The sequence below is a fragment of the Homo sapiens genome, chromosome 5 (assembly GCF_000001405.40).
Source record: "Homo sapiens chromosome 5, GRCh38.p14 Primary Assembly".
Taxonomy (NCBI): Eukaryota; Metazoa; Chordata; class Mammalia; order Primates; family Hominidae; genus Homo; species Homo sapiens.
Genome location: NC_000005.10, coordinates 116,508,189 through 116,521,268, shown reverse-complemented (window position 1 = coordinate 116,521,268; position 13,080 = coordinate 116,508,189). Strand labels below are relative to the sequence as shown.

Genomic DNA, 13,080 nt, shown 5'->3' with positions numbered 1-13,080 from the left:
GCCAGTGCTTGACAGTCCCAGGAAGGCCACACAACCAGAGCTTCACTTTGTATTCCACAATCCACACCTCTGGGCTTTGTAGTGAAAAAGAGGTAGAGCTGTATAGATGCTGGATGTCTCCATCCCTAGAGACTTTCTGTCATTGGCCATGATGTTCATTAGGTTCTTGCCATCTGTCTCCTTGCAAATGCTTTTTGGCTGTAGATCTATATCCTATACAATCTGGTCAAACTGGGAGACAATGAATGAGGATTGGCCAAAGCCTGAGGACTTTCTTTTGGTCTTTTGATTCCAGGGACATTATTACAACAGAGCCCTAGGAGCAGCTGCCAGCAAGAGTTTGAGTCCACAGCAGGATCCTTCTGGACCATCTGTGGCTTCCTGCTCTGAACAGTACTTCCTCACTACGTGGGAGGAAAGACTTGTCAGAGGATCCAAGAACCATAGGCAGTCAGGTTCTCCATGGGGACCCTAAATGTTGTCTGGTCTAGCCCTGCATCCTGCGTCTAAATTCCTGGAGAATATTCCTTCTGTCCTAGCACTCATCTGGCCTCCCCATCCCCTTAGGTAGGCTAGTCCATGTGTGTGTTACAGGGGCTGCTAGAAAGTTCCTCCCTATTTTGAGCAGAAATCATCTTTATAGTTTCTACCCATTGATCTTAGGTCTACCCTCACAACTGTCCTCTAGGTTTCTCTTCAGATATCTGAAAAATGCCAGTCTCTGCCCCTTGCATCTCCCCTTTTCCTTGTTTTAGTACTGATTTTTCAGAAATTGTCCTGATACTCTTTTTTTAGAGCTTCATTCACTATTTAATGAATATTTGTTAAGAGTTTACTGTACATTAGACTTTGTTCTTGAATGGGAGGGATACAGTGATTAATAAGACCAATTTACCCACATAGAGCTTACATTCTAGTGGAGGGGAGGAACAGACAAAAGCAAGTGAAAATCTCAATTAGGAACAAATCCATTGCAGAAATGTAGAATAAAGTGATGAAAAAAAAAAAAAAAAGCATCAGGCTGCTTTGGGGGCTCAGGGAAGGCCTGTCTGAGGAAGTGACATTTTATGATCTTGGAAGAAAGATCATTCCAAGGTGAGAGAGCAGAAAGTCCATGAGGCAGGAATGAGAGCTTGTGCATTTGAGGAAAGCAAGGCACAGGGGCTGGAACAGAGTGGGAATGGAACATGATGGGGTCAACCAGTTGGGTGGTGCCTTTTGTGCCCAGAATAGAGGGTTTAATTTTGTTGTTAATACATTAAGAAGCCACTGGAAGGCTTTATGGAAGGGAGGACATAACATGATCTATGTTTCTAAAAGACCATTGATTGCTGTGTGGAGATTAAACTGAAGGAGGGCCAAGTGGAAGTAGAAAGACTAAGTAGATAGCAATTGTCATGAGGCAGGAGCTGAGGTTAGGTTAGATTAAGAGGATTGTAGGTAGAACATAGGGAAGTGGGCAGATTTGGCATGTACTTTGGAAATAGAATCCATACTTGGATATTACGTCTCTTGGTCCTCTTAACTCACAGTGTTTTATGTAAGTCTGTATTATATGTATAATGTATGTGTGTGCGTGTGTGTGTGTGTGTGTGTGTGTGTGTACACACAGCATCGTTATAGCCACTTATGTATAGTCTGCAGTGGTCTGGAGACTTCCCAAGGGCAGAACCCATGGGTGAGCCCATGACCCCAATATCCGCACTGTTCCCGCACAGTGCCTTGCCTGCACATATTAGAAACTCAGCCATTTCTAAAGTGACTGAATTCGATGAGTGAATGAATGAGTACAGGAAAATTACTAACAAAAGCTGTTTCTGGGTTTAATTGAACAGTCAAAGGAACATCCTTTCAATGCCTACACACTTGTACGATATTTTCTCACATCTCATGTTCTTGCTTGTACCTCCCAAAACACTAAAAAAGTACCCTGTGGTGTACAAAAGCAGTGTTCCTTTGGAATAGAATTACTTTCAAAAAATTGGAAAAATTATTGATAATGACTCCTCAAATGTACCTTTTGTGTGAGAATGGAGGAGGTGCCCTTAGCTCCCTTACTTCCAAATAGTGGAGCAGTGTTCCAGCTTGGGGAATCTTGCAAGACTGGAGCTCAACACAGCACTTTGCTCTCTTCTCATTGAGGATTCTGGACGACACTCAACCTTTCTTTCATGTCTTAGTGCTGCTGGAAAGAGCTGATTAAATAGATATGTGAAGAACACATCTGCCTATTCTTGCATAACATTTTAGAATGACTTTTTTTTTTTTAACTCTTAGGAGAGATAAAGACTATGTTAACCCAGTAGGAAAATACCGTGTTTGAGAAAAAAGTCATTCTGCCTTAGTCTTTTAGTTATTCAAAGTGAACGTGGGGAATCTCCTCTTTGAAAGACGTTCATGTGTTGTTACTCTCCATGTGTTCCATAGGTGTGTATTTTCCTTCTCATTGCTCAGAACTTGAAATCCTTACTAGTGAAAGCCTGGATGATGCAGGTTGACCTCTCTGCTTCCCAGTAACCAGGGCTAAGTAGCTTCTAGAGACGTTTATCCATTTTCTGTGCCTCCATTTCCTCCCAAAGAAAGGCAAGCACACACGTGCAGGGATCCTTGTGCTATGCTAGAGTGACACGCCTAGGCATGCCTGCAGGGCTGGGTGTGTGTCTCACACTCACTTTCTCTCTGATTTATCACCTCTCTTTTGTCTGACCCTCAGCACTTTAGTTTGGTTTCTTCTTGTCACACTCAAACTTATTGGATAATTTCACTTTTCCTCCTTATTCTGGTCTGGCAGAGATGGTAATTAAAGTGATTGCTGTGCTATTAATTATGGGAATGGTGATTTTTAAATTTGATTTAGGGGTTAATTGGTGATATTCATGTGCTGTCTTCCCTCCTGATAATTGGATTGCAGTAATTAACCTTGTATCCAAGTTATCTGATATTAACCATTTGCCTCCATTTTATTTCAGACTTAAAATTGATTACGTTGTTGTCTGACGCCCAGTGTCCACTTTGGGAGAAAGAAAGGTGAGGGACAGCCAGTGGAGGGCACCTCAGAGAGGAATAGGAGAGTCTGTCTTCCTTCTCTACCACCCCTACCTGTTGTCCAAGATAACAGTTGTCCTCCCCAAATATTCCAGAAATCCAAATTCTTAATTTTAGTAACTAGTTCCTAAACTTCTGGGGTTATTCATCAAAAGAAAATTACAGATATTTGAAAATTAAAGGCAGGTACCTGTAACAAAGCAGAGGGCAGATACTGCCAGTTGACAATTGCTTCTGATGCCAGGGATTGGAAAATGCCGTGACCAGGCATATTCCATTGGGGAGAAAATGATTACAGGCTCTGACATCATGGAATCTCCTTTGGAGACACCATCACCAAGTGCACAAAAAGCCTGTGAAGTCTGTCCATTTTCTACAGAGAGAGGAAGGAGTGCTGACTCCCTTGTAGTTGGCCATCAGATGGGAAGAAATGCAGCTCACTCAGGTGGAGGGGTTGCTGAGCCTGGGGAGGCAGTCACTTCTGCTGCTTCTGGATGATATCACTTACTTAGGAGAGGCTTTGGGACCTTGCTACCAAGATTACATCTGCTCTGGGAACATCACTTATTTTGTGGAAGTCTGTTCTTGTCGGTCCTTTGTCTGGAGAGGGGCCTGGAAAACTGTCATTATAAGCCCAGAACATAGGAAATGAAAAATAAGTAACTCAGTCAGCAATTCCTCATCTCTGAATTATTCTTGCAAGTATGATACGACATACACTTTTAAAAATATGTGAAATCAGATTACTTTTTTTTTTAAATTCTGTGAGAATTTCACAACACACTGTGGAATAATTAAGAGACGTTCTCATTTTAGCAAAACCAGTGTTGGGAATTTACTCTCAAGGATTTCCTTTCTCCATCACTTTATATCCTGTTTTTAATCTCTTTAGGAACGAAGGCATGTAGTGTCCCAATCTTTTTTTTTTTTGAAATTTTTTAGATTTTGGAAAAGTAACATGGGAAACATACACCAGTGGAGTCTGGAGCAATTTTTAATAATCATACCTGTTCATAATTTGCAGCAAAATGCATAAATATTCATCCTAAGAGGGATAAATAAGGACTACAAATGGTCTCATGCCAACTCAAGCTTGTCACACAATGAGTAGAAAAAACATTTTGGTTTTCAGGGTTTGTTTTTGTTTTGTTTGTAATTGCAGATAAGAAATTGTGTACCTATACTCCTGAAATGAACTTGGCCTCATCCAGATCTAGAGAAACAGGGGATAGCAAATCGTATTTTTCTTTAAACTTAAGGAGCCTCAGGGCAGACTTCAAAAACAATGAACACCAAAATGATTCCTCCAGATGCTGCCAAAGAACAGGACTGTTCTGTTTGTGCGGTGACCCTGAAGTCACCTGTTTAAGGAGTCAAGTCATCAAGTGGTAGAGACATTCAAACAAACCTATAATTTCGTAGAATTTATTTTCATTCGCTCTAAGGAAGCATATTTTCAGGATGTTTGGGGATAATTATTAATTCCAAAGATAAGATTTCACATTAAAAGCAAATGAACATTTTATGCGGTGGTATCCTAGAGTTGACTCTGGTTTGGGAAGAGGCACCTAGTGAATCGTCTTCTCTCCACCACAATTCAAACTGATAAACTGCCTTTGGAAAACACCTACGTTATTTTGCTAAGTAAATCAAGCCAGGCTAATGAGTCACTTTTTACATAAAAGTAAATGAGCAAAGCCAATAAAGATATTAGTAATTTTCAGAAAAAAAAACCTGAAATATCTATCAAATTTAATAATAGGTTAAAATGTGTGGGTTTGCAGTTTTCACTGAGCTCACTGAGACATAAAGCAGGCTTTTTTCGGATAAACGAAATGAATTTCCCCAAAAATGTGGGAAAATTATAGAAATTCAAGATATAATTCTTCCATATCATGTCTGTTCTCGATGTGTCTGGACATACACAGATGAACAGAAAATGTACTGTGTATATAGATACTTTACTGATGATAAGCACCAGTCAGCATCAATATCATGCTTGGTTATGGAGCAGATCCTGAAATGATATTATGCCTCTTTTTGTATAATCAGAAGCTTGTAATCAAATAGAAACTCTATTTTTGGCTTTCAGGGTTCTGGGAAAGCATCAGAGCTCATCGAAAGAGGCAGGAAATACAATGAGGGCTGACACAGGCAGCAAACACCAAAGGACCTGATGCCAACATTTTAGTTCAAGGAAATGTTTTCACTTTCTTCCTGATCTTGAGACTGTCTTACCAAAAATGTTGACAAACAACAAGAAAACAGTAAGGATTTATAGGGTTAGGTCAAAGTTTAAATCATTCGTGACTGATGACATTGTTATTTGGGGCTGTTATTCAGAGCTCAACGGAGCGACTTGCAGGTTGTTATTAATTCTGTAGGAGCCAGGTTTGAAGTTGACTTCTACTCTAAAACTGGGGAAAGAACACATCCCTGCAGCCGTTTAGGCCTGAGCAATCCCAGGCAGAGTGGAGATCAGGAAGGTTCAAGTTGTGACTGGGAGATTGTATTTCTATTAACTATACTGAGAGTAAACAGAGGAGAAATTATTAGGGAGAGTCGTCCTGTCAAAGTTCAGCAATTGCTTTATTTTAGTTTAAATCCTCTAAGGACTTTGACAAAGGTATGTGGAAAACTCTAGGTGCTAAAATATCTCTGGTTTGCTCCTTTAAAGTCACTCTCCAGATATCTTTTTACTGGCTAGGAAAAATGCTTGGATTCAGGCATACTATTTTTTGCAGTTTGCTTCATTTTTAATAAAATTACAAAGAAAAAGTTAGGGAGAGCAACGCAAAAATAACCCATATACTCAACACCTCAAGCAAATAAATACCAATATTCTGAGCTTATACTTCAGAGCTTCCCCCACCCCTTCTTCTCTGTCATATTCTTAGAAAAAATAGTAATCAGACACAATCTTTATTCTCAGCTGTAATATTTTAAACCAAACTTTCAGTTAAAGGAAAACATCCATCCATTACTTCAGACAAATGCTTGAAATTCCTTAAGCAAAGAATGAACTAGTCTAATTTGAGTGTCTACAAATCCAATAAGCATGGAGTTGTCTGTTTTAACACGCTGCTGTCTTGGCCTGGCCCTTCTACCTGAAATGTCTTAGTTCCCACCTGCCCCCTCCACAGTGAACAGTCATGCAACCCTCTAAGGCTTTCTCCAACCAGAAGCCTTTGCCAGTCATCCCACCTTACATGCCTCTGCAACATCTTCACTTTCCAGGTGGTATTCTTGGCAACAGAGTAATAATTTCTTTTTGGAAGATTATTGTTAATTTGTGTATGTGTTCTATTTTGGAATAATGAGCAAAAGCTATGGGGCCCATCCACTGAATAGTGAGGTCCTGGGGGTGATGCAAGGGGAGGGGCTGTTTCCATCTCTATCTGCATCAGCATCTTAGCACAGAGCCTCCCAGTAGAAAACAGGGAGTTGGTAAGATGGAAATCAGGCAGTGGTAGTAATGAACATCAGGCAGCAAGCCAAGGAGAAGTGAATGAATTTTGGCTCCCTTCTGAAAGTAGCATAAGGCAGGGAAAGAGCTCACTAAGAGAAGTCAGGAGTTCTCAGCTGCTGCTCATCTTTGCCACTTTTGAGCTGTCCTACATTCGGCAAGTGACCTTTTTGGACCTCAGTTTTCTTAACAGCAAATTATAGGAGGCATTTGTTTCTGCATCTGAAGCAGATGTCCGAGTTCAGCAATATTGTAAACAGTTTACACAAGTTTACAAGAAAAAAACAAACAACCCCATTAAAAAGTGGGTAAAGGACATGAACAGACACTTCTCAAAGAAGACATACATGTGGCCAGCAACATGGAAGAAAGCTCAAAATCACTGATCATTAGAGAAATGCAAATCAAAACCACAATCAGATACCATCTCACACCAGGCTATTATTAAAAAGTAAAAAAACGACAGATACTAGCAAGGTTGTGGAGCAAAAGGAACGCTTTTACACTGTTGGTGGGAGTGTAAATTAGTTCAACCATTCTGGAAGACAGTGTAGTGATTGCTCAAAGACAGAGGCAGAAATACCATTCGACCCAGCAATCTCGTTACTGGGTATATACCCAAAGGAATATAAATTGTTCTGATATAAAGACACATGCACGTATATGTTCAGTGCAGCACTGCTATTGTTCACAATAGCAAAGACATGGAATCAACCTAAATGCCCATCAGTGATAGACTAGATAAAGAAAGTGGTACATATACATGATGGAATACTATGCAGCCATTAAAAGAAACAAGGTCATGTCCTTTGCAGGGACATGGATGGAGCTGGAGGCCATTATCCTTAGCAAACTAACACAAGAACAGAAAACCAAATACCGCATGTTCTTACTTACAAGTGGGAGCTAAATGATGAGAACAAATGGACACACGGGGAAGAACAGCACACACTCAGGCCTGTCAGAGGGCAGGGCATGGAAGGAGGGAGAGCATCGGGAAGAATAGCTCGTGGATGCTGGGCTTAATACTTGGGCGATGGGATGACCTGTGCCGCAAACCACCATGACACACGCTTACCTATGTAACAAACCTGAGCATCCTGCCCATGTATCCCTGAACTTAAAATAAAAGTTGGAAATTAAAAAAAAAAAAAAAGAAAATCAAGAGGAAGGTTTGGGAATGAAGGTAATGATTACAGTCTGGGGACATACTGTGTGAGTTTTACAAGTAAGCCATACATGTAAGTAGAGTTTTCCAGAGGAATTGTACAAAATCAGGTCTGGAATTCTAAAACTAAAGGTTTAGATTAAGAGGTAAAAATTAGCTGCCTTGCCGGGTACGGTGGCTCACACCTGTACTCCTAGCACTTTGGGAGGCTGAGGCGGGCAGATCACCTGAGGTTGGGAGTTTGAGACCAGCCTGACCAACATGGAGAAACCCCGTCTCTACTAAAAATACAAAATTAGCTGAGCATGGTGATGTATGCCTATAATCCCAGCTACTCAGGAGGCTGGAGCAGGAGAATCACTTGAACCTGGGAGGCAGAGGTTGTGGTGAGCCGAGATCGCGCCATTACACTCCAGGCTGGACAACAAGAGCGAAACTCCGTCGCGGGGGAAAAAAAAAAAGATAGCTGCCTTTATAATGGATAGCCCCATTTACCCTGATGTGATTATTATGCATTGCATGTCTGTATCAAAACATCTCATGTACCCCGTAAATATATACACCTACCTTGTACCCACAAAAAGTAAAAATAAAATTCAAAACAAAGTAGCCACCTTTAAGCCAACAACAAACAAACAAAGAACGTTTACAAAGATGGTGATGGCAAAAAGCTAGAGCATACCACAGGTAAGCCTGGTTGAGACTGTTGCAGACTTTTGAGATAAAGACAGAGTTTGCCACAATACTTTCAGGCCTACTAAGGTCGTGACTATAGCAGCAGAGTCCCAGTGGGCCATGAGACTGTATCTGAAACATCCAAGTAAAGTGCAATAAATGTGCAATAAACATCCAAGTAAACTGCATTGGCTCAGGGCTGTGTGTTTGGGGTGGGGGTGGTGGGTAGAGAGAAAGAAAACGAACATAACAGAATCATCTGAAAGAAAAGACTTGCCTTCTCCCTCAAAAGATAATACGTATACAACCAACCTTTATTTTTTGAAAAGATATTTTTTTCTAGAAGTACTTACGAATTCAGTTTTTCTACGTTTTTGTGATAGTGGTTTCAGATCTAAAATGGAACATCTATTACACCCAGTCGATATTTATTATTATCCTCCATTGAATGCCATCATCACTCTCCAAAATGTGTTGAAGTTAGGTCTGTGGCATTTCCCTTTCCTCCAAAATGGGTGCTTTTATGTCTCTCTTAATGGCTGAGAGAAGGAGGAAAGAAAGACCAGATGCTTTATTAAGAGGCTGGAGCTATTTTTCTCATTTGCCCGAACCTTATATCTTAATGCAAATATCACTGAACAGGCGGCCCTCGTGGTTCCTGCAAACTGGGTACAATAAAGGTTTCAAACAGGATCAATGGGCCCAGGTTGTTTCTAATTACGATGGGATGTGTTCTTTGACCCAGCTCTGCATCTTGTGGACAGCAGCACCCTCTTAATGCTGCGGTCCTTGAAACAGAGCTGTCCAGGTCAGTGAAGGATACCTACTATTTAAACACTCATTACTTCTTTAAATTTTCCTCTGGTGCAAGAATGATCAGCAGTTCCAGCCTCTGTGAAGCAGGTCTCCAGCTGGATATTCAGCAAAAACACCTGCTTTCCCATCTCTCTCTGGACAGAGGTTCCTTACTCACTTGAGATATGTCCACATCTGTTTATCCTATCAGCTACTGAAGCAGGCAACTTCTTTCTTACCCTTTGCAAATGACACTGTTCTCTATGATGTGTTGATGTTAAAACATCACGGTTGAGGGAGGCTGCAAGCAGGCAAGTGGCTCCACTTAACACAGTGGTGTTCATGAGAGAATCAATTTCTCCTAAAACTGGTTGAGAAGCATTTGCATCTTTCTATCACCTTAAGGCTGCAATCACAGGGCCATAAAGTGGAATGAGGCTTTGCATGCCTACATGTTTGGGAGCAACTGTGTACTCCCTTTATAGATTTTTATCACCGAAGCCATTAGGGACTTTCAGCCACTTCGTCCACATAAGCATAGATGCATCAGCCTATATATGAACTTAAGTGCAGTTTCCTTTTATGCCATCACCTTTCTCTTTCCAACCTTTCTTCTGTTCCTTTTTCTTTAATGCCTTGGGAAGGACATAAACTTTGGCATTATACAGACCTGGCTTTGAGTTTTGTCTTTACCCTTTGACTACTGTGCTGTAAATATAGTTGGCCCTCTCTATCCGTGGGTTCCACAGCAGTGGATTCAACCAACCGCTGATAGAAATTTTTTTTTAAAAAATTGCATCTGTACTGGACATCTACAGACTTCTTTTTCTTGTTGCTTTTCCCTAAGCAATACAGTGAAACAATGATTTACATAGCATTTACATTGTATTATGTATTATAAATAATCTAGAGATGATTTAAGTATACAGGAGGATGTGTATAGGTTACATACAAAAACTATATCATTTTATTCAAGGGACTTGAGCATCCCCAGATTTTGGAATCTTTGGGAGGTCCTGGGACCAATCCCTCACAGATACTGAAGGACGACTGTATTTACTATGTGCTGCCTAGACATGTTACTTAACCTCCCTGAATTGCAGTTTACTCTTGTGTTTACAACACAGATAATAAGGCCTGTCTCTCTGGGTTGCTGTGCTGTTTCAATAAAGTAATAGGCATATGTACCTTGCACACAGAAGATACTCAGTAGACCCCCACTTCCACCCAGTCCTTTCTTTATTTTCCACATCATTATATTTCTTTGCATTAGTGTGAGTGCCATGATTTACATTTTTTAAAAACCACACCATGTTTGTGTGACTCCCAAGACAAACTTTCCAGCCTCTCCAAGTGACCACCTCCAGAGATAAGAAGCTTAGTGACTTGAAGTGGGTGGGGGAGAGAGAAGGAGGGAGGGAGAGAAGGAGACTTCTCTCACTGAAGCAGTAGAACACTAGAAGCTAATCTAGGACCTCCCCGAGAATTTTGTAAGGAGTCCAAGAAAAGCTATTAAAAAGTAATTTTTAGTGTCTCAGCTGAAGAATAAATAAACATTTATTGAGGACTATGGAGAGTCTCCAAGACACTATTTTACCCATATGAAGAAGGGGAAACTGAGGCTCATAGAGCTTAAGCATCTTGCTAGAGGTCCCAGCTAGTAAGGGGGCAGAGGGTTTCAAAGCCCAGGTTTCACCCCCTGCTCTTTTCTGCTCTCCTATGTTATTGCAATAGTTTGATGTCACGTAGGAGTTTTTAAATCAATTTCAATTCACTTTTGGAGGCAGTCACACTGTACAGACAAAGATGATGAGGTCCAAAAATTTGAGTTAATAAAAATGAAAATTTTAGATTTAGTGTAAAACTCAACTGAAGTCTAAATAAGATTACATGGTAACAACAGTGTTCTCTGTGGTCAGATTAGAACTGCTTATCTACTTGAACTGGGTCCTGAAGTTGAGACTAGGCAGTATAGCATGCTGGGATTTCTTTGCTCTCGCTTGATGAACTTTTCACCACTTTTCATGATGTGCCTATTGCAGTCCAGTGAGAGCTACATGGAAGAGAGTTCGTTCTACCCCTCATGCTTGCCACAAACAGTACCACACATTGACACGCTGATTATCCCTAGAGTTTCCAAACCACATGCTGCTTAGGAGCAACCAGGAAAGAGTGTAGAGGGAAAAATGAGCCCTGTTCCCCAGTTTGTTTTGGAAAGGTCACTTGCCCCACTGCATAGAACTTTCTCTGCCTGCCCTCTGTGGTGATCTCAGAGAGTGGCTGACACAACAACAAGAGCCCAACTACATTTCCAGTGCCTTTAGGACAAAGAGGAAAGCTGTGTGGAGGTCCAGCACCTCACCCCACCTCAGCCTGGGTCCCCTTATTCCCCCTGCCGCCCCTACCTCATCTCTCCAGGTGATGTTCCTGGCTTTGGAATGTGTTACATGACCCAGAGGCAGGCCACTCCCTGTACCATCCTTCCTAATCGCATGCTCTCTCTCTCTCTCTCACACACACAGAGACACCCTTCTTCACTGGGGCAGAATCCCTTAGAACAGTACCATCACAGAGCCGGAGGAATCTTATAGACTATTACATTTCATATCCTTTCATTTTACAGGTGAGGAGACTAGGAGCTAGTGAGGCTGACTAACTTGCCCAAGGTCAACGCCATTAATGTGCTCTTCCCTCTGTTAATGACAGCATGAATTGTTGGTTATCTTTAAAACTTCATATGATATTAGAAAATGAGCTTTTTAAAAGAATTACTGAAACATGGTAGTAAGTGACTTTGCTCAGGGAAAAATAGTGCCACTATTATCATTTCCTTTTTATTTCAAGCCCACACTTGGAGTTGTTAAAAGCATTTTGTATTTGCAAATCCAGATATATTATTTTTCACGTCACTATCACTTATTATTAAAATGTTCCTTGTGTGCCAACATTCTGGAAGATGCTGCCATGTCTACCAAATCAGACACAAATTGTATTCATACAGTCAAGTCCTCCATGCAACTTGATGCACCAAGCATTTATGCACCGTTTGCTGCAACCGGACATGTAGACAGTTGGTGGGGCAGCCCAGCCGGGTCTCTAAAACAAGCAGTGTTCATTAATTTGTGTGTATAGACAGTGGGTTCCACATGGTCCACTTGCTAAGGCTGCTCAGCCACTTGCAGATGATGGTCAAGAGGAACAGAATACCTCACGCAGCAACGTTGATGTCCTGTACCTGGGTAGTATAAAGGTTCCCTCAGAACCTTCAAGGGCAGGCAGGTGAGGTTAATGGGTAAGGAAGGCCTCCTAAGAGAGTGGGAAGGAGTGGGAATGTTTCCGTCTGGAGAGAGCCCTATTTGGGGCAGCCAATGCTCAACTCCAGAGTTTTGTCAGGTGGGGTCTTGGACTAGCAAAGCCAAACCTCTGATTTTTTTTAAGAAGTCAAAAATCTGGAGTTTGTTAAATCTCCTATTTTTCCCTCAATATTGCTAATTTAGTTGTTTTCTTCTCTCTGAGTCAGCTTCTGCCAGGTACTACGAGTTTGTGAGCCCCCGTAGAATTTTCCAGGGCAGGATTTGGAGGAATAGTTGGGCAGAGGATTAGAACTAGTGTCAGGGGTGAGCCTGCGTGGTACTCTGGCTGGGTCCACTTGTCATGGCTTCCCAGTCCTCGTGGCTTGTTAAACTGACTCATTAGAAGTAAGATGTGGCAATTGATGGACTCATTCTCTGACTTTGTAATCATTTCCAGCTCCGCTGCCATCCCTTTTGCTTCATGCTTGGCTGACACAATGACCCGCTGTACATCAAGGGTGTGGGAGGTAAGGGTGCGCATAAATGGAAGCTCTAGTAATTGAAAAGAATTTATTATTTTTAAAAAATTTATCAGCGTGAATGCATTCACACGGTTTTCAGACAGTCCTTTTGGTCTC

General features: G+C 41.3%; 1 protein-coding gene across 7 annotated transcripts in view, besides 1 other annotated feature; it reads left to right on the top strand.

Moving 5' to 3' along the window:
* SEMA6A (semaphorin 6A) overlaps nucleotides 1-13,080 on the top strand; it is a 131,269-nt gene that overhangs the window by 53,555 nt on the left and 64,634 nt on the right. The window lies entirely within an intron of this gene.
* Nucleotides 2,167-3,366: an enhancer, noted in NCBI's record as "MED14-independent group 3 enhancer chr5:115853599-115854798 (GRCh37/hg19 assembly coordinates)". NCBI's record gives its function as "activates an origin of replication core promoter dependent on BRD2, BRD4, P300/CBP and CDK7 cofactors, and independent of MED14, by STARR-seq in HCT116 cells {active_cell/tissue: HCT116}" and the evidence as "EXISTENCE:reporter gene assay evidence [ECO:0000049][PMID:35650434]".